We start from the raw sequence: 21,994 nt of genomic DNA on the forward strand, positions 1-21,994 counted from the left end.
TTTGTATACCTTTTCTTCCATTTCAATTATAGACACTCTGTCTTTTTCACTAAAAAGGGAAAAAAGGGGGAGATTGAGGTGCCAAAAACACTACCTTAACCAAGGATTAGGAATATATTTATGGTATCCATATGGAAACATAGTTATGTTCTGCTATAGAATTTGTTACCTAAATGTGTATTTTCCCTCATGGATAATCACAACTAGTTATACACCATGATTAGTTCTCATCACAAAGTTTTGTATTTCTAATGATTTTTTATAATTTGTAGTTTTAGCATCTTATCTGTTTTGGTTATCGGATGATTGTATAATTTTCCTTCTTCCCCAAAGCATTACTATGCTTCCAGATTGAAAATTCACACCCAAAATAAAATGAAATAACAGGCATGGTGAGGGTGGTGCCTACTACCATAGCACATGACATATAAGCCCCAGAGGGCCTTGGTGCATGTCCTGTCTTAGCAGTTTTACCCGAATCGGGTGTCTCTGTGCGCATCTGTGACAATTCATAATTTTGTCAATGAAGACTTAGTTTTTATGGGTACAAAAACATCTTACCTTAGAATTTTCTTCATGGTCTTAAAGTTTTTATATTATTAGCAAGAGTCTATACAAGTATCTTGTTGCAAAGAATGTTGTTAGGTGTACCATATATATATACACACATATATATATATGTATTCATAGGTGTATATATACTTATGAAAATCTAGAATTCACATATGACCTAAGGAGAGTATCAGCATAATTGTTTAAGAAATAGAACCTAAGTGAACTGAGTAAGTGTGAGGAAAGAAAATAGTTGTTAGAATTTGAGAACTCATCATGATTTTTTTTGTTTGTTTGGGGGAAGTTATATTTTTCACTTCTGTTTTTAATTTTGTTTATTTTTTGAGGCAAGGTCTTGTTCTGTCACCCACTCTAGAGTGCAGTGGCACGATCACAGTTCACTGCATCCTCAACCTCCTAGGCTCAAGTGATCCTCCCACCTCAGCCTCCTGAGTAGCTGGGACCACAGGCGCATGCCACTATACCCAGCTAATTTTTATGGGTTTTGTTTTGTAGACAAGGTTTCGCCATGTTGCTCATGCTGGCCTCAAACTCCTGGGCTCAAGCAATCTATGTGCCTTGGCCTCGCAAAGTGTTGGGATTACAGGTGTGACCCACCATGCCCGACCATATTTTTCACTTTTAAATATATTATTTGGGATATGAGAAAACATATTATTGAAATAGTTCTCCTCTGGTAGTTGACAGCTGATCTATATTTTATTCTTAAAGCCTTTAACCTATCTCTCTAAGGGACAAAAAGGGGATGTGTTAGATATATTTGGTTTGCTTAGAGAGGCAATGGAGCAAAGACTGGAGAAGAACAGTTGCATTTACAGCTAAATTTTAGAATCCATAAATAGCTCTTTCTGTAACAATTTTAAAGGGATTCCTGATTATCTGTAGGTCATCTTGTCTCAGCATGTCACCAAAATAGTCTTTTATTGTTTGCCTGAGTGCCTTAAATAATGGAAAAACAACCAGTACCTTTTAGAAAAAAAATTAACACTTTGATAGTGCATGTGTTGAGCTAAACATGCTTTTTCATAACTAATTATACCCTAAATCCATCTGACATTGGAAGTATGTGAGAATGTCCCTCCTCAAACAGAACCACAGGCTGTATTTGGCCATTGTCTGCTAAAGTAAGCTTGATTACACTTTGACAAGATATGACCTGAATCAAAGCACGAAATTGCTTGGGTTGAGATCTTATGTGTGTTTCTACCTACACCATCTCTATGAAGATGCTGTAATTCCTTCAGAATATTCTTAGATCTGTAATTCATTTTTTGAGTTACTTTGCTTTGGAAAGAATATAAAAAGTAATCTTGAGAAAAGCATAAATTCCTTCCCTTGACCTTATAAACAAACACGTTCCAAAACTTCCATACAGTCTAACTTTTAAACAAAAAATTCAGTAATTATGTTCCCTTTTTAAAACAACATTCTAAAGGCAGGGCTGTTTTAAGGATTTTTCTTCTAGTGACTGCCATCTACTGGTATAATGTTGTCAGTACACTTTAGGTAACGTGACAATTATGTTGCTATTGTTTTAATATATGGGCATATTTCTGAAAATTGAAGTACTTTGATTTGAAATATTAGTAATATGCACACTAATTTAAAATACAATTGTCCTGAGTGCTGTTTCAGATTTTTATATTCTTTGTGTGTCTGCAGTACTTCAAGAATAGTAGTTTTAATAAAATTATATTAAAAATATATTTCTAGCCAACTTTGAATCCTCTTTTTAAAGAATCTGAGACATTTGTTTAGTAAATACATTTACTGAGAACTCATTATATACCAGGCATGATGCTTAGAGATACAAAACACTCATAAACCCCTACCCTGTAGGAATTTACATTTTTATTATAATGGAATAAAATGGGTTTTTAAAAAATTCAGTCCAATTGCTTAAGTCTTTACCTTGGCTATCTACTCACTTCACAGGCATTCAAATATGACAGTGCAATTATGATATATATCTTATTTCTTCTCAGTGAATATCTTCCACTTGTGAAATGTATTTTTCCTGTAATAATCACCCTTCACCGCGTTCCTAAAATGTAGTTGGTACTTTGCAGCCTAGATATGTTAGAGTCAGGAGATTAGAACTAGCAAAAGTATTCAATATACTTGAGGGGCTGGGGAAGTTAGTCTATAACCCTTAAAAATGGAAATTATATTCTTATCTCTAATTCTCATTAAAGAAGTCCTGAAAAAGGGAAAAAGCAGTGCTGGATAGGCCTTGTATTTTGATCATTCTTTCTAATATAAGAAAATGTGCTCTAAATATTCCCCTGCTGAAGCCCCTGTACTTTTTCCTCCTTATCCTCAGGATAAAGTCTCGTTTGAGTATTAGATGCAACTCTTTTATGTTTGAGATCTTACTTGTTTCAATAACTTTATTTCCACTACTCTCCTCACCTCTTACTCTGTAATCCAACCACACTCAAATATCTGCATTTCCCAAAACATATTATGTTCGTTCTTATGCATGCTACCATCTGCCGTACTTTACCTAACTAAACTTGTATTTGTTACATAGACCATTTATGTAGACTTGTACTAAAAAGTGTTTTAACCCTCACCCCTACCCTGACCATTCTAAATCTGGATCTGGATCTGTTTTGTGTTTTCCCATGGAGTCTCCATTATAACAATATTCCTTCTCTCTCACTATTTTAATTTCCAGTTTGCCAGTTTAAGACCCCTTCTCGTTAGTTTGCTAGAGACCCTGGCTGATTTCTCATTTTAACACCATTGCTTACATACTATCTATCTGGCATATTCTGTGTGTTCAAAAATCATTTGTTGAATGAATGACATTTGAGATCTAATGTTCACATATGACAAATGTTTTGAATTTTGTTTACTGCTATTTCTTTAGAGTTCGTTTTCTAGCCAAGGAAAATGTAACCCAGGACGCTGAGGACAACACAGTCTCTTTCCTGCAGCCCAATGGTGCCATCTTCGAACCTTCACTATCAGTTGGAACAGAGGCTGACAACTTCACAGTTCTCAATCTGGCTGTGGCAGTGAGTAGACAAACAACAAAGTTATCTATTTTAAAATACTCTAGAACTCATGTAATTAATCCTATCATTAGAATTATTAGGTTTTACTTGTTTTTCCATTTTTATCAAAACGTATTCCTATATCATTATTTTGAATGGAGGCATGGTCATTTGGAAAGTGACAAAATCATAAGAATCGACTGCATTAGAAGACCACTTTATTTTTTTCATTATTTTTTGTCGAAACATTCTCTATATTTAATTTCAATTTTATAACAGATTACAGGAAGATGCTTAAGAAACAAGTACAACATTTGTTTCAGTATGTCTTTAAATGAAAGACTTTTAAGTATGTAAGCAACTATATAATAAAAGGTTTCCAAACGCAGCCTGTAAGAAATCAGGCAAATTTTACTATAAGCAATAAACCATTCCGAGCTTTCCAGACAGTGTACCAGTAGCTGTACCAGTGGGCAATAACCTTTAACCAAACAAAAACAAACAAACAAACAAACAAAAGCACTTTGCAATTTGTTGCTGCAAAATGGGGAGAAAAAAAGAGTATATAAACTTGATGGAATCACAACTGTCAATATAATTTAAGGGAAAATAAAGTCGATAAGGTTGATGGTGTCTATTGTTTGGAAAGTCGAATTCGGCTATTTGCTTGGGGCTCTAGAGACCACACCACTGAATAAACAAAACTCTGCAGAGTCTAGCTATCCGCCAACAGGGGGTGCCGTCCAAATTCATGGCAAATAAAGGGCATTTGGTGCTCACCATTCACAACAGGCGGGCATTTATGTGGATGAAGTACAATTTCTTCAGCAAGCTCAGCAAAAACTCTTAAGGGGCAAATATGAACTCTGCATTTTAAGAAAAATAGAAAACGGAAACACAAAATCCTAAAAAGTATATGAAGGCTCTGCATTAGCACACTGGCATCAAACCACACATCCACAGCACATCCTAATTCTATGGGAAACAATCCTTGCTTATCGGAGGTGCATATCTAAATTCAATAGCTTACCAATATATTCTTGGGAGTAGGCCAAAAGGAAACAGAAAACCCACATTAAAAAAAGAAGTTTCTTTTCCTAAACATTTTCCTGAAGCTGAAATTGAAGTGGAGAGGAAGTCAGTTGTCCTCGTCGAAATCGTAGTCCTCCTCATCCTCCCCAACCTGGGACACCGGGGTCTTCACCCTGGAGATGCTGTACTGAGACCTGTTGGAGCTTGTGGCCAGCATTTCATCCGCACCATTGGTCAGGTCACTGGCAGAGAGCCTCGTGCCGTTAGACGTGGAACCTGCCGTTGTGATGAACACGCCTGCAACAATTGTCTGCGCCATTTCTGTCACGTGTGGCTCCAGCGCCTTTGGGACCAGACTTATGGCTTTTTTTTTTTTTAAGTTCTGGGATACATGTGCTGAATGTGCAGGATTGTTACATAGGTATACATGTGCCATGGTGCTTTGCTGCACCTATCAAACCATCATCTAGGTTTTAAGCCCCGTATGCCTTAATGCATTAGATATTTGAGAAGACCACTTTAAGTGTATCGTTAAATAAATAGAGCTTAACTTGGAATGTCGTCTTCTTGTGGCTGGCACTGAGGCAAAGAAATGTAATCATCTAGGAATTAGACGAATTGCATTTTGAGTTTTGGCAGGATCTGGCAGTAATTTTAAAGATAAGCTTTAAAAAGTTTTGTATTAAGCTCAATATTAGCATTTAATCCATTTATTTGTTAAAATCTAATATTGTATTCTTGTCTTAAACAGTGACTTTGTTTTTGTAGGCTGCATCCCATATCTATCAAAATCAATTTGTTCAAATGATCCTCAATTCACTTATTAACAAGTCAAAATCTTCTATGTTCCAAGTCAGAACTTTGAGAGAACTGTTATGGGGCTATAGGGATCCATTTTTGAGTTTGGTTCCGTACCCTGTTACTACCACAGTTGGTCTGTTTTATCCTGTAAGTACCAAATATGAATGGCAATATTATTACATTTTAATTTAATTAATTCAATGGCATTGGCAAGGCATAATTTTATAATTTAGCTCATTAGTCTTATTGCTGATCTGGAGACATATATCCTAACTTTTTAAAAAGTCCACTTCTCATTATAGCTTCAGCTTTCCTAGTTGGGAAATTCATCTGAATTTAACAATTAAATTTAAACCTGAAGAATAGATTTAATAAGGTTTCTACTCATTTATAAATACACAATTTTTTTTAAATTAGCCGGTAAGCTAGTCTGTAAATCTTTGAGCACTGTTTTTGGCTTTTATTTCCCTATTCACATAATCAAGTTTAATACCATATTTTTATTTGTTTTAAATATACTCCTCATTCCTCCTTTTCTAGACCTCTTACAATTTTAATTTATATTTAAAAGTTAGCCTAATGTTCACATCTCAATACTGATAAGGTAATAGACTTCATTTTAATGGGATTTGTAAATAAGAATTTTTAGTAGTCCATAATGTCATGAAATGGCAGCTTGAAGATTAAGGAAAATGTGAACTTGATGGTGTACTTGATTACCGCTTAATGTTTTGAATTACAAATAGGATAAGCTAACTACTGAATTGGAAGTTGGACTATGACTTCATTTGGCACTATATGTGAATATTATGTTCTCTAGTTCATTGTTTTACTTTTAGATACTGTTAGGATTACAAGGTTATATATCAATTATAAATGAATGTAGAAAGCCATAATGAATCAAATTCATTCTGATTTTAACTCAATACTCATAGCTCTTTCTTTGGCTAATGCTTTAACTTTTGGATGTCTAATTTTTATCATTTTAGTAACCACTTATTATCATTTTAGTAACCACTTATTAATGACTGTAACATTTAGAATACCCCTAGAAATCATTGTTCTTATAGGTTTGTTCAATGTCCCTCACCTCAACATAGTAAGAATAGTGATCAAAATGCCCTCATTGGCTTAATTATGACAGAGTGCTAGAGTTCACATCATGTCAGCTTCTGATATGTATCTTCTTTGTCACAGCATCTAGCACTTATTTCTAGGCACCTTTCACAATTTTTAAGGCCAATAATTTAAAAAAATGTATTGCAGATGTATTTCAAGTCATTTGAGTAACCAGTGATTGAGAAATGTGAAAGTGAGTTATGTATTGTACAACTTTGAAAAAATGACTTGTAGAAGTAACATTTTCCCATACATATATTTCAGTACAACAATACTGCAGATGGAGTTTATAAAGTTTTCAATGGAAAAGATAACATAAGTAAAGTTGCCATAATCGACACATATAAAGGTAAAAGGTAAGTATTCTGGTAAAATGTGCATGTATGTTACTAGGGTACTCTTAAGCAGGAATAGTATTCATTTAACATCTCATAAGACATAGGCATCAACCTATAGAACAGACCTGGTTATAATTCAGCTCTGGAAACTCCTGTTCTGCTAGGTATTAACTCTTTAGTTGTGGTAACTGGTGAGTTCACACCAGTGCATAGCTGCTGACTATCAGCTCCACTTTAAGGTTTGGTTCACCTTTCTGCACAGGTTATGGTTGTGTTACATAAATCCCCAAAGGGACTATTTTTTCATCTCTGCTACTTATCCAGCATTACAGTATAATTATTCTTACAATTAGATAACCATAAATGAAAAGGTAAAAAAAAAAAAAACAACACATCAACTGATTGTGTAGTAGATGGAAACTTTTTTTTTACTTTTTAAATCGAGCATATCGAATTCCATATTCCAGTGGCATGACCTAAATGTGTCTATAAAGATGGAAGCTTAATGAATCCAGGCAACTGCTTTCATGACCTTCCCCCTGCAAATAGTCTTTAATAATTTTCCATATTGATAACTCAGCTTTTTTAACTTTATCAATGCAAAAATAGAATGAATATTTCAAGTGCAGTTCTACAATGTAAATACAAAATGTGAAAATGAAGACTTTGCCAACTTTAAAGTGGTAAAATAACAAATCAGCTTCCTAAGCCATTATTTCCTTTTTTTTTTTCTAGCTCCAGCCTATTCACCTAAAGAATTTATAATTTATCATATATGTAAACTAGGAAGAACCCTAATAAATATCAGAGGAACAAGCTTTCTTCTCCATAAAATTAACAATTGTGTGTTTGACTAGTTTTTTTCTGAAAAAGAATAAAGTGATCAAAACCAAAAGAGATGAAATGTTTTTATTAATATAAAGTAACCCCTACCTCAAACTGAGTCTATCTAATGATTGCTTTTAACAGCTAAATATTACTAGTGGAGTACTTTTTCTTCTAAAGAGTCCACAGTTACATATTTTTATAGAAAAAGTCAGTAGAGGGAAAAAAACACTTCTAAGTATTCACTTAAAAGGAAATCACAGCAATTTTTTATATTGAGAAATAACGAGCATTTCACTCTAATATTACAGAGAGATGTGGAGGGGAGTTGCAAAGCACTCCTAGTTAGAGTAAGAATTTCACATCATTTTAAGATTGTAAGGTTGATTTAACTCATGGCAAGACTGAACATGATTAACCACTTATTTTGTTTAAGCAATGGCTTGTCTTGACATGTCACTGTCAGGAGTGGAAAAAAAGTTTTTCCATCACCAAAAAGTGAGGATGCAGGGAAACTATTACTATTGTTTTTATCACTTCCAGATATATATAGCTTATTTAGACAGCAAAGTATAAGTTAGTAAACTCTTTCCTACTTTAACGCCAGTCCATGGGAGAATTAAAGGGAGGAAGGGGCAAGAATATAAATTAATCATCTACATGTTTTGAATGTTTGCTGATCCAAACATCTGCTTCTTTCCTCTTCCCTGCTTCTCTCTTCTGCCTGCCTTGTACTTAGCTTATATCAGTTACCCACTTAACACTTTCCTTCTATTCATTCTGAACACTTATACTACTGAGTAATTCATGTATCCCATTGGAAAAAAAAAAATTTCCCCTAAGTAGAGATCTAAGTTTCTGATAAATGTTTTTAATTTTTTTCTTATTCCAAGATGTTTCTAATTAACACCTGGCAGTTTTTATTTTATGATCTGGCTACCTAATGGCATCAGGTACATTGCAATAAGATAAAAGGTTCAAACAAAACATAAACAGAATTGAACATTTCTTAAACTTAGTACTTGTCACATTTAAATGCATCATATTAACAGAAGTATTGAATTATAATAGAAAAAGTAATGTAAGAAAGGTATTCTTTAAATAAGAATGTTTATTCATTGTCTTTTTCTATTCCTAGGAATCTGTCCTATTGGGAAAGTCACTGCGACATGATTAATGGTACAGGTAAGAATATTTGTTTTGTGGTCATCACAGTTAATCCACCTCCCTTTCCCACAAATCCACCGTTGTACTGACAGTGTTCTGAAAGTTGAGGGTGTGTGTTTACTTGCCTTTATATCCCCACAACAAAATTCAGAGTCACTATTTGTATATAGGCTAAAGGTCTGTTCAATGTGATGGGATTTGTAAAGATTAATCATAAAAAATTAGCCCTTACTGCATGATTCAGAGAAATGTTTGCTTTGTAAAAACTTTACTGCCATCCTGGCAACAGAAGTAAATGGTAAAAAACAAACAACAACACAAAACACTTTAGTTACATTTCAAATATTTTATAAATAGTATACAGATAAGTTAGAATTGAAAGAATTAAAAAAAGCTAATTACAAAATAGAAAACATATCTAAGCAAGGCTTATAGCTGAGATAGAATAAAGTTGCAAGACAGAACCATCCATTTTTGGATAAGGTGGTCAGAATGAGAGAGAAAACAATAACAAAGTCAGATGTCTTCTTAACTGTGAAAAATATATGTAAAAAATGAGCATTCATAAACTTAGATTTAAGGTATGGTTAGATCAGGCTTATTCTCCTTCAGGAAAAGCAAAGTACAGATATGCCTATTAGTTTAAGAATTAAGATTTTTAAAAAGCAATGGGAGGCTGGTCACAGTGGCTCATGTCTATAATCCCAGCACTTTGGGAGACCAAGGCAGGTAGACTACTTGTGCCCCGGAGGTTGAGACCAGCCTGGGCAACATAGCAAAATCCCATCTCTACAAAAAAAATACAAATATTAGCTGGGTGTGCTGGCACACGCTTTTAGTTCCGGCTACTTGGGAGGCTGAGGCAGGAGGATCACTTGATTCCAGGAGGTGGAGGCTGCAGTGAGCTATAATTGTGCCTCTGCACTCTAGCCTGGGCAATAGTGTGAGACCCTGTCTCAAAAAAAAAAAAAAAAAAAAAAGTGGTGGGAATCGAATACCATGAAGTAATTAATATCCAGAGGCAAGCTTTCAACTACTAGGAAACAAAAGCATGAAGTTTAGAAAATTAGGGAATATCCCATAGGAAAATGATATAACAAAGATAAAGACACTTAAGTAAAAATGAAGTACAGAGAATGTTTACTTTGCCAAAGGTATGATTATTGACTTCGTATGCGTACTTGATTCTATCATTGCCTTGTAGGAAATGATAAACAAAAAAAGCAAACAAAAAAAACAGCAAAAACACTGTTGGATTTGCAGGGGTTTTCTTTTGTTTTTTTTTTTTTTTTTTTTTGAGACATAGTCTGGCTCTGTTGCCAGGCTGGAGTGCAGTGGTGCGATCTCGGCTCACTGCAACCTCTGCCTCCTGGGGTTCAAGTGATTCTCCTACCTCAATCTCATGAGTAGTTGGGACTACAGGCATGTGCCACCACACCCAGCTAATTTTTGTATTTTTAGTAGAGACGGTTTCACCATGTTGGCCAGGATGGTCTTGATCTCTTGACCTTGTGATCCGCCCCCCTCGGCCTCCCAAAGTGCTGGGATTACAGGCTTGAGCCACCACACCTGGCCAAGGCTTTGCAGGGTTTTGAGCCATAGGAGTGGGCAAATAAGCTATTTTCTAAGTAAAGCATTTCTGGAAATAAATTTTCAAGTCCTCAATACTACCAATGCTAGTAGTTGTATAAGCGGAATACTTAGTCCTTAGATGCAGAGATAAATATACTGTGTTAATCCTAGTAAAGGATTCTTTAAGGAGAAAAATCTTTAAAAAGAAGATTCATTGACAATAATAGAAATGCATGAGCATCAGGCATGATGTTAAAAATATCTATGGGGAAAATAGGGCTGATACAAACTAGGAAAAGAGGGAATTTGGACAGAGCAGGGGATGATCCCTGTGAGAGAGATTCTTGCTTATGGCACTAGCGAAAAGAAAGTAATAAAACAGTAAGGTTCTAATGTGTTTTCATCGTAATTTAGAAGTGCATCCTCTTTACCTTCTTCAGTAAGTTTGAAAAGACTTAAAATGAAAGTATTGGTATACATTTAGAATGTTTCTTTTGGGAGGACAGAAAAAAAGCTCTGCAAATATCAACTATGTTGCAGTCATTGTCCATGGTAGTTGCTGGGTATAATTAGGACATAATCTTCAATGATATTTTAGATAATGATCTTAAAAGCTTTTCAATGCATTTTTCTTTAATTATTAAGGAAATGGAAAAGCAGTTGTTGTCAATGTCCATATGGGGGCTTATATTTTACTTGTCACAAGAGTGTAAACTAATGAAAACAAGGTCACAAGGTTGACACACTTGCCAGAGAAAGAACCTACAATGCATAATCAAAGATGAGACTTACCATTTAAAACTCATTCAATGACGGCTCGTATTAGTGATATTCATGTGAGAAGTACATGGAGGAGTTAACTATTTCTTCATATATCCAATGTTTGCCATGGATCATAGCTGTAGCAAAAAGTAAATTCAATAAATGACTTTTTTATACACTTTCAAAGCATTTGAAGTTCTGTTTAGTGAGAGAACTTTAGTAAATATTTTTAGAAGTAGTAATCAGCCATTAGGACAAATGAGAAAAAAAATCACTACAAATAAATGTGGACATGGCAGGAGATCCAAATGAACTTCACTGGAAGAAAAGTGCCACTCTACTGGTGGGGTAGGGCATTTCAAAAAACAAACACAATGTTAGCCTTAACATTTCATGTTTAAGTTTCTTTTATTTTGTACCATTAAATATGTATAGTATGTAGATTTGTTGTTGACAATAGCAGCCGCCAGCCATATGTAACTGTTAAGGACTCAAAATCTGGCTAGTATGATTTGAAATGTGCTGTAAATATAAAATGCACAGTAGATTTTGAGACTTTAAGAATTTAAAATATTTTATAATGGTTACATGTTAAAATATTTTGGATATTAATAAGTTAAATATAGTTTTGTTTTGTTTGAGACAAAGTTTTCCACTTGTCGCCCAGGCTGGAGTGCAATGGCATGATCTTGGCTCACTGCAGTATCCGCCTCCTGGGTGCAAGCAATTATCCTGCCTCAGGATAGCTGGGATTACGAGCGCCTATCTCAGGATAGCTGAGGCAGGCCTATCCTGCCTCAGGATAGCTGCCTCCCAAGTAGCTGGGATTACAAGCGCCTACCACCACACCCAGCTAATTTTGTGTATTTTTAGTAGAGATGGGGTTTCACCATGTAGGCCAGGCTGGTCTCAAACCCCTGACCTCAGGTGATCCACCCGCCTTGGCCTTCCAAAGTGCTGGGCTTGCAGGCATGAGCCAGCATGCCTGGCCGGTTATTTCTTTTTACCTTTTAAAAATGTGGCTGCTAGATAAATTACTTAGGCAGTTTGCATTACATTTCTATGGACTACACTGGAGGAGAGATTTCTAGGTTTTTTTCTAGAACACACATTACATCTAATCATTTGCCACTCGATTTTTAAACAGATGCAGCCTCATTTCCACCTTTTGTTGAGAAAAGCCAGGTATTGCAGTTCTTTTCTTCTGATATTTGCAGGTAAGACAGATACTGAAGTATAAGTATGTCTGAGTCAGACCCCAGGTGACAAAATGCAGACCAAGAAACTTAAACACAGCATAGGAAATTCATCATGTTTATTAACTAACTCTTTGCAAAATGTTCTTCTGCATCTTCCAATTTTTAATAGTACAAATTTTTTTTTTTTTTGCCATTTCTATCTAAGCAAGAACCATTTTGCCTTTTAAAAACTAAACTAGTAGTCTATTAACGATCAAGTCCAGAAGGGCGTGCCCAATCTTTCTAAAGACATACAGAGAAGATGATGCAAATGTAACAGAACTGTGTTAATGTGCTCTGCTCAGATTTGTGGGGCCCAGTAGATAACACACAAGCACTGGAGCCTTTACCACTACCCTTGAGCCCAAGCTCTGTCCCTAAAGACTGTATGCTTGTGGGTAGGCATTTAACATCTCTGAATTTTTTTCTTATCTGTACAATTTAAGACAGCAGTATTTCTTCATATACGTGTATCTGGGGATAAGAAAAATATGTGTATTGAACCCTATGATAGACACTTGGTAAACGATGGAAATGTACCAGGTATATATCCAGCATGTATATGCATACACTCCAGTGAGTGGTCTTTCTTTCCAGGATTAATTAAGCCGTGAAAGAAACTATTTCATTTAAACTGATCACAAATAAAGTATTTGAAGGAAGTCCTATAAATATTTACTCTATTGGATAAATTGCCTGTGAGAAGTAACTTGAGTATAAATAAACATGGTACTTCACAAACAAGAATAGTTCATGCTTGGCTATTGAGTTTTAGTATGTGTTAAAATTTCCCAATCACTTTTTTTCTAAGAATGAAACAAGAATTTAAAAGAGTATATGATGTTTCTAAGTTAAAACAAGAATAAGAAAAAATGAATCTCCAGAATGTAAGTTCAGGTTCCTGGAATGCAGCTCTTTTTTCTCTGTATTTAGGTCAATCTATGCTGTATTTGAATCCGACGTTAATCTGAAAGGAATCCCTGTGTATAGATTTGTTCTTCCATCCAAGGCCTTTGCCTCTCCAGTTGAAAACCCAGACAACTATTGTTTCTGCACAGAAAAAATTATCTCAAAAAATTGTACATCATATGGTGTGCTAGACATCAGCAAATGCAAAGAAGGTGAGTAAATAACCTCAGTAGCACAGTCCATACCATAATTTGTGATATTCTTTAAGATGAGAACTTTACCATAATCCTTTAGCAACCAAAATTTAAAATATATCATAATTTGTGATATTCTTTAAAATGAGAACTTTACCATAATCCTTTAGCAACCAAAATTTAAAATTAAAGTAAGAAAGTAATTAGGGCAGAAGAAAGAATGGTGGCAGAAAATTTTAGTGCTGATTTTGTATTTTGGGAAGATCCCACTTGTGTTTCAGTATTACAAAATTTAGTTAAAACCACACCAGTATTTCCTTGTGGCTGCTTTTAGATTTAGGGTGAAATGAAAATAATTCCGAGAACACATTAAACATCCTGTTATTCATCTGTCCTAACTTTTTTCACTAGAAAATGGTACAGGTAAATGTATTTTCAGTATGTATCTAAAGCTAGAGTTAAACATAAAATTTGGAGACTAGCTTATCCTGTACATATTTATCATACTAACGTGGGTGTGGAAGAAGAAAGAAAAAACTAGTGTTAAATAAATTCTTAGTCCATAGACATATTACTGCCTGAAAGCTTTACATATTGAAAATTAATACTGAAGGAGTTTATAGTAGAAATCAACTGACATAATTCTTCCCCACCCATGTTAAAAACCATGTATTTTTTAATGCAAGAAGCTTTAGTTTTGTGGAAATATTTTTTGAGTTATATGTGAAATGAAGGAAGTTATTAATTCCAATTGACTCTTAAAACTTGTCTTCAGGGAGACCTGTGTACATTTCACTTCCTCATTTTCTGTATGCAAGTCCTGATGTTTCAGAACCTATTGATGGATTAAACCCAAATGAAGAAGAACATAGGACATACTTGGATATTGAACCTGTAAGAAAACACCTTATTGATCTGATTTGGTTGATATTTTTAAAAATACAATTGAAATAAAAATAATCTTGTCGATGATTATTTATTCAATAAATAATCATATTTATTGAATCACATTCTTGAAAGTTACTGAAACTTAGGTCGATTTCTTCCTATGGTTTATGAAGTGATTCTAATTGGCTTAAAATAATTTTATATAAATATTTATGTTTAGATGAGGAGTTATTGTATATTATGCAAAAGTCAAAGAGTATATGTGAGTTTGACTATACTTATTGTCAAAATCTATAAAATTGTTGTAGCGCAACAGTTTTAATCATCTTTATTTTTGTATTTTCCTTTTCAAAAAGTAAATGAAATTCTAGGATTTTAGTAGTTATGTTTTAGTTTAAACAATGACACATGGATTCTAACTGAATATATATTTGACCAGGAATTATCTGAGATCTTATATTTTGTTGCTGATTTTTGATTTTTTAAAAACCATTTCAAGTAACTCACAAATCTAACTAACTAAAACCTTGACATTCGATTGGGCAAATAAATTGTGTGTATCTATATGGATGCATGTGTATATAACTATAACTATATATGCAGTTTTAAAAGTTTCAATTAGTCCTGTTTAACCTTAAGTTACTACCTTCTCTTCTGCTGTAAGAAAAATAAGTTTTGAATAGTATAAAATAATGTTTTTAAAAGTTGGTAATTATTTAGTTGTTCTCTTTTTAGATAACTGGATTCACTTTACAATTTGCAAAACGGCTGCAGGTCAACCTATTGGTCAAGCCATCAGAAAAAATTCAGTGAGTCTCTTGAAAATGGTTATTTTGATATGATCTGTAGTATCGTAGTATCTTCTTGTAAGAACATGAGTAAATCTATGTAAGTAAGTGGAAATAACATCTGATATCAACTTATCTTTAGCTTAATGTCACCAATCATTATTAAATGCTTATGACTAATTTCACAGATTTTGGAATGGTTTTATGGTTTTATTTGAGCATTTGATAGCATCTCTTATTTTGTTAGCTGCCCAAATATTTCTATGACAATAATTAATTTTTGGAATTCATATTTCAGTTCCCCGAGAATTTATTGAAAGGAAAAATCCACACTTGTGAAAAAAAATCAATGTGATTAGAAGACATATAAGAGCAAAGGAAGTCAAAAACAACTATATTAAAATTTAAATGAGTCATTACAGGAACAAAATCAAATTAGCAACAGCAACTAATTTATGAACATTTATTTTAAAGTTTGTTATATATAAATATTAGTTTATATGTTCATAATTATTTTCAACGTATATTACAGAGTATTAAAGAATCTGAAGAGGAACTATATTGTGCCTATTCTTTGGCTTAATGAGGTTTGTATTTGCAGCTGTTAGTCATTAAAAACAACCTTCTTTGTATATAAACAAGCTCTTGATGTTTCAAAAGAATGTATAGTATTTAAAGCTATATGTATTTCCATTACCCATATGGATGAGTATACATTTATTTAACCTATTTGAGATGATCCAATTGAACAAAAACATTTCCTATCATTTAAGATTTTCTTCAAAAATGCATCTATTAAACACATTTTCTTGTTGTAACATTTGTCTTCTATTGCCTGACAAGGTATTTTTACTATAAATCCATGCATTGATAGCTATAAAAATAGGAAAAACATTGAATAAGTCTTTGGAGCAAATGAAACTGTTGACCCTTTGATAGTTCTGAAGAGCAAATGAATCCTAGTACATTGAAGAGTACCGTACTCTATCTGGCACTTAATTGCCTTTCTTGACTTGCAAAAGGAATTCCATTAACTTGCCTTATAGATACTGATGACTAACACCAATAGAGGTGTTAGAAAAAAGGGTGATAGGCAATTGAAGGGTTTATTTTGTTTTACTAACGTACCCAAATAATGTTGATTATTAACTTGATTACAGACTGGGACCATTGGTGATGAGAAGGCAAACATGTTCAGAAGTCAAGTAACTGGAAAAATAAACCTCCTTGGCCTGATAGAAATGATCTTACTCAGTGTTGGTGTGGTGATGTTTGTTGCTTTTATGATTTCATATTGTGCATGCAGATCGAAAACAATAAAATAAGTAAGTATGTACCAAAAAATATTGCTTCAATAATATTAGCTTATATATTACTTGTTTTCACTTTATCAAAGAGAAGTTACATATTAGGCCATATATATTTCTAGACATGTCTAGCCACTGATCATTTTTAAATATAGGTAAATAAACCTATAAATATTATCACGCAGATCACTAAAGTATATCTTTAATTCTGGGAGAAATGAGATAAAAGATGTACTTGTGACCATTGTAACAATAGCACAAATAAAGCACTTGTGCCAAAGTTGTCCAAAATTGACTGGTTCATTTCTCAATTATATAGCTAGTTATATATTATCTGATACTTAAAAATAATTGACTAGGAAATGGTTTCATAAGACCAGGATTGCTGCATGTAGACATGCTGGCCGTGCATTTTCCAAATCCAGAAAAGTCCTGAACAAAAATTTGAATATAATAGTATCAGGAAATAGGGGAAAATAGTGTTCAACATAGTAGAACCAAGTACTCAGAGTGGTGTACAAGAGTTTAGGCCTCTATGCTTTAGATATTAGTGTCCATGCACTCTTAAAGATGAATGAATGCCTGACCTTTCCTAAAGGAAAACCTTTTTTTAGTTATCACAGGTAACATTGGTGTTGCCTGTGGGGGAGAATTTTTTACTTTCTCCCTATTTTTCTTCAGCCCACCTCAAGGCAATGTAAATAAAAGCAGTATGTGTGTTATAATAACTTATTTAGTTGTTTACTGTGTGCCAGTACCATGCTAAAGAAAGATTCTTTATCTCACATGATCCCTAATACAATTTCATGATTTTCCAATAGCCTGGATTCATCAGCATCCATTCTATCTTCTAGAGATGTTCCATGAAATCATACATTTTAATTGTTTGTGACCAAAGCATAAATCAGTGAAAGTGGAATTTGGGGACCAATAATTTCCTTTTGTGAGATGGAGAGCTTGTGTTTGAAAAGGCAACCTAATTTTTGGTTCTAATCACTTCTACCACTATTTAGTCACCAAAAAGACAATAATTCTGCATCCAAACTATTTGGACAGAATGGCTTCAAAATGCTAGCCTAAAATGTTCACATTATAAAAAGTTAAATATTACCTTCAATACCTGTCAGTAGCCTACTGACAAATTATGACTAAACAAAGGTATTTGTATGACTATGTAATAGATCATCCGCTGAAAAGTAAAACAAAATAACAAAAAAACTTGTCCTAATGGGAAAGCATGCTTAATAAAAGGAAATGCAGAAGTTATAAACATGTTTTGTAAGTAAGTATTCAGAATTAAAATTATGTGATACATTTTTATGATTGCTTAATGATCCTTGGATGTCAGATTCCTTGGGTCTATTTATAGCTAAATTATAATGAAAAATTCAAGGCTTGCTGGAGCAACTTTGTCAACAAATATATTAGTTTTGCTTATATATTTGATTTTTATGTGGAAAAATTACTACCCTTTTTTACAAGCAGAGAATAAACTGTTGATTACTTGATTTACTAGATTTAGAAGAATCACAAAAGATATGTAGATTTTCTTAAGCAAAATTCAGCTCTTAATATCATAAAAATTATATCTTTGGGCAGATTTGTAAACAATAGGAACAAGTAAGAAGACAGGTATGTAAGAAGTAGCAAAGTGTAAGACGGTGGAGCTTTAATGTGTGGTTTTACTCAGGGGGTCACAAGAAAATAACCCAATGGTCCTTTTGAAAGTAGTACATACACCTTTAAATGGAACTTGGTCTGAAGGGTGTGGAAATGCTGGTCCAGGGCAGATGCACTTCAGCTACCGTTCCTTGCCTGGTGTGTGCTTGTCTTGAAGCACCCTTCTTATGTGCCTTTCTGGAATGGGAATGTGTTTTGCCCTATTGGTGAAGTCCGTTAGAGAACTTCTCTCTGCAGCTAGAGAAACTGAACTGATTAATAAAAAGTATGATATCTAAGATATACTGCCACTCTACAGGTAGTAAATGATTCTTCACATTTGTGCGCCAGCTACATCATGACCCTTGGTAATACCGACCAACAGGATGAAAATTGGATATGCTTTACTTTTACAAAGCACACCTTATCTTTTAGTTGAAGAAATGGTGGCACTATTTCTTTTTTTGCACTAAGCAACTGCACATTTCAAAAGGATTATTGAGATGTTATGAAAATCTCTACCTTGCACAAAAAAAAACCCAGCAGCTTTTAAAATTCATCATTTCCACAACTGAATTGATTTCCGTTTCTACAGACCTGGCTCAAGCACAAACCAATTTGTGTTGTTCTGATTCAATAATTGGTTTCTGGGTGGCCAATTCAGAAGAAGAGTGTACATGCTCAACAAATCCTAGGCCCTGCATTCCTGTCATCCTCATCCGGGGGAAACACCATCATCCCAGTAGCTGCCCTATTCAACTGCAACAGTCTCCAGGACCATCAGTATACTGCATTTCATGTGCACCAAATATTTTGAAAGACATTTATAAATAATTGGCTTATGACTCATATTTCTCTATGAATACCTTCATACAGCAGGTATAACTCTTTTCTTTATGGGCTTAAATATTTTGTCACTGATCCTGCAAATGGACATCATTTTAGCACACTAGCGGTTTATATTTTAAGGACCTTCATTCTCTGTTCTGCACCTCTTCTGGAAATTGAGTAAATTTTGCTTTTTTTTTTTTACTCAGTTGCAACTTACGCTTGGCATCTTCAGAATGCTTTTCTAGCATTAAGAGATGTAAATGATAAAGGAATTATTGTATGAAATATTACAAAGCGTAGACTATGCATTGTTATTCATTATAATATTTTTTGCTGTCATAATCGCCTCATAAAGACAGGTTTCAACCATTAAAATATGTTCTTCCTTAAATTCCTGTGCTTTTTCTAGTTCCTCTTGTGTCATAAAATGTTTATCCTAATTTTCTCTCTGAAGTATATTTTATCTGAATCCACATTTCTTTATAAATCCATAGTCCTTGCTGAAATATGCTTTCTAAATTTCTACCACTTTGTTCTAGGCTAATTTTTTAAGCTAATTGGATGAAGAACAAAAAGACATTTGGTTTCATCCTTTACAGCAGTAGGACAATTGCAAAGGTTTTTCCTTTTTCATAAGGAGACACATTAATAGGTAACTCTGTTTCTTGAGCAGGGGTTCACTTATTCTGAGAGCATTAGTTCTCCTAAAAAGCTCCAGCATAGAAAGGGAAGATAAACCAAATTCTAGCTTGTGTTTTACCCACAGAAGGATACAGGACAAAGGAATAGTAACTGGCCTGTTTGGATACTAAAATCGAAAATAACTTTTAGCCTCCTCCTTATGATAGCCGCCAGAGTAAATGTTGAGCATTACTACAGAAAAGCCACAAACCAAGAATCTACCTGTTTGGAAAGATCTTTTGCATCTCTGAAGGTGCTTAAAGCATACTTAGTGCCTTTCCTTTTAACTGGGAAGATAAAAGAAGTATCTGTCCAAGATATTAATATGTAAGATAACATTGTAGACATGTTCTTCTGATAATACAAGGTTTATTCTATTTGCATTAGGATATTTGTGGACATGTCCATCTAATATAAAGGAAAGTTTTTTAATCATTGAGGCATGTAGGGCTGAGTTATATAATGTAGAAACTTCTAAAGATAATTGGATGAGAATATACATATTGACCTGTATATTATGACTAATCATGACTCAGATCTTAATACAGGGATGATCTCATAGCATTTAGATATCAGAAAAGGTTTTGACCTATATGTCTTTAATATTGTTTGAATACATGTATAATCTTTATCATTCCTCAGTGTTTCATTTCTCAAATTCTGTAAAAGGAATATAAGAGGAAAGACAATTCATATACAAAGACAACGAGATTAAAAATATGCAGTAGGAAAAATAATTACTTAAGGGGAGATTTTTTTTACATGAAATCTGGGCTTTGGATGTGTGTGTGTGTGTGTGTGTGTGTGTGTGTGCACATATGCACTGTGGTGGGAGTGGGGCAACTTGGGGAATATGTTACATGTGTGACTTTGTTTTGCCCTGGCGAAGTTAATGTTGTTCAGAAAGGGTAAATGTTTGGACACTTGCAATTGCTCATGGATGAATTTATATGTTTTAGTCATAGAAAAATTGTACCCTTTGATAGAAGCACATTTTCTTTCCAAAGCTGGTTATTAACCACAGAATTATAGCAGGTATTCATAACTTAAGTTTGAAAATCAATAGCGTCTGCAAATGGATTAACAGATTAGAGAATCAACAGCATCGGAAAATAGGTTAATGCATATTGCTTCTAACAAGTGCATGAAGAAATAGAAGAAGCTATGTAGCTTTCAGTTCTGACAGAAAAGGGTGAAGGAGGGTATCATTTCAAGAAAAAAAATAGCTATCACGCAATGGTTATCTCTGAAAATATTTGTATTAAGATGTGTATACATGGCCAGGCATGGTGGCTCATGCCTGTAATCCCAGCACTTTGGGAGGCAGGTGGATCACGAGGTCAGGAGATCAAGACCATCCTGGCCAACATGGTGAAACCTCATCTCTACTAAAAATACAAAAATGAGCGGGGTGTGGTGGCCCATGCCTGTAGTCCCAGCTGCTCGGGAGACTGAATCTCTTGAGCCTGGGAAGCAGAGGTTGCAGTGAACTGAGATCGCGTCACTGCACTCCAGCCTGGTGACAGAGCGAGATTCCATCTCAAAAAAAAAAAACAGTATGCACGTACAAATTTCTTAACCTGTTATCAATGTCTGAGCTACATAATTATCTTTCTAGTTGGAGTTTGTTTTAGGTGTGTACCAACTGACATTTCAGTTTTTCTGTTTGAAGTCCAATGTATTAGTGACTCTGTGGCTGCTCTCTTCACCTGCCCCTTGTGGCCTGTCTACAATTCTAAATGGATTTTGAACTCAATGTCGTCGCTTCTGGTTTCCTGCATATACCAATAGCATTACCTATGACTTTTTTTTTCCTGAGCTATTTTCACTGAGCTGAGCTAATGAACTAAAACTGAGTTATGTTTAATATTTGTATCAAATACATAAAAGGAATACTGCTTTTTCCTTTTGTGGCTCAAAGGTAGCTGCATTTTAAAATATTTGTGAAAATAAAAACTTTTGTTATTAGAAAAATGATTTTGCTTATTTTTATTTTTGAATGTAGTTGACTTCCATATTGTTTGATATTGTTACTATAGTTTTATATGAGCTATTATCCTTTCATGACTTATTTACATATCACTCCTATTTCCTTTTTCCAACTGTTCCCAGATGCTAGTAGTACAATCTACACATTGCAAAACGTTTCATTCTGCATACTCATGAAGGGGGCTGTGACATAGGATAAATATAAATATTTTAAAATTTTCCTTTAATTACATGAATCTTAGACAAACAGCCTCAACATCACCTGGGAACTTGTTAAAAATGCAGAATCTCTGGTTCTACCTCAGACCCACTGAATCAG

The 21,994-nt window shown here is 34.1% G+C and overlaps 1 protein-coding gene across 28 annotated transcripts in view; it reads left to right on the plus strand.

Annotated features, from left to right (window-relative positions):
- The window catches only part of CD36 (CD36 molecule (CD36 blood group)), a 77,068-nt gene extending 55,408 nt beyond the window's left edge, over positions 1 to 21,660 (plus strand). For 10 of the 28 annotated variants that reach the window (NM_001371075.1, XM_047421046.1, XM_047421041.1 and 7 more), the window contains 11 exons: positions 3,449 to 3,596; positions 5,376 to 5,555; positions 6,792 to 6,883; positions 8,829 to 8,875; positions 12,339 to 12,408; positions 13,363 to 13,550; positions 14,308 to 14,426; positions 15,156 to 15,229; positions 15,741 to 15,795; positions 16,369 to 16,533; positions 18,770 to 21,660. In NM_001371075.1, coding sequence (NP_001358004.1) covers positions 3,449 to 3,596; positions 5,376 to 5,555; positions 6,792 to 6,883; positions 8,829 to 8,875; positions 12,339 to 12,408; positions 13,363 to 13,550; positions 14,308 to 14,426; positions 15,156 to 15,229; positions 15,741 to 15,795; positions 16,369 to 16,533 — 1,138 coding nt within the window. In that variant the 3' untranslated portion in view covers positions 18,770 to 21,660. Of the gene's footprint in view, positions 1 to 3,448; positions 3,597 to 5,358; positions 5,556 to 6,791; positions 6,884 to 8,828; positions 8,876 to 12,338; positions 12,409 to 13,362; positions 13,551 to 14,307; positions 14,427 to 15,155; positions 15,230 to 15,740; positions 15,796 to 16,368; positions 16,807 to 18,493 lie in introns of those variants that run through there. The other 18 variants (NM_001001547.3, NM_001371074.1, NM_001289911.2 and 15 more) reach the window with 8 other exon arrangements.

Source organism: Homo sapiens, chromosome 7, assembly GCF_000001405.40.
Source record: "Homo sapiens chromosome 7, GRCh38.p14 Primary Assembly".
NCBI lineage: Eukaryota > Metazoa > Chordata > Mammalia > Primates > Hominidae > Homo > Homo sapiens.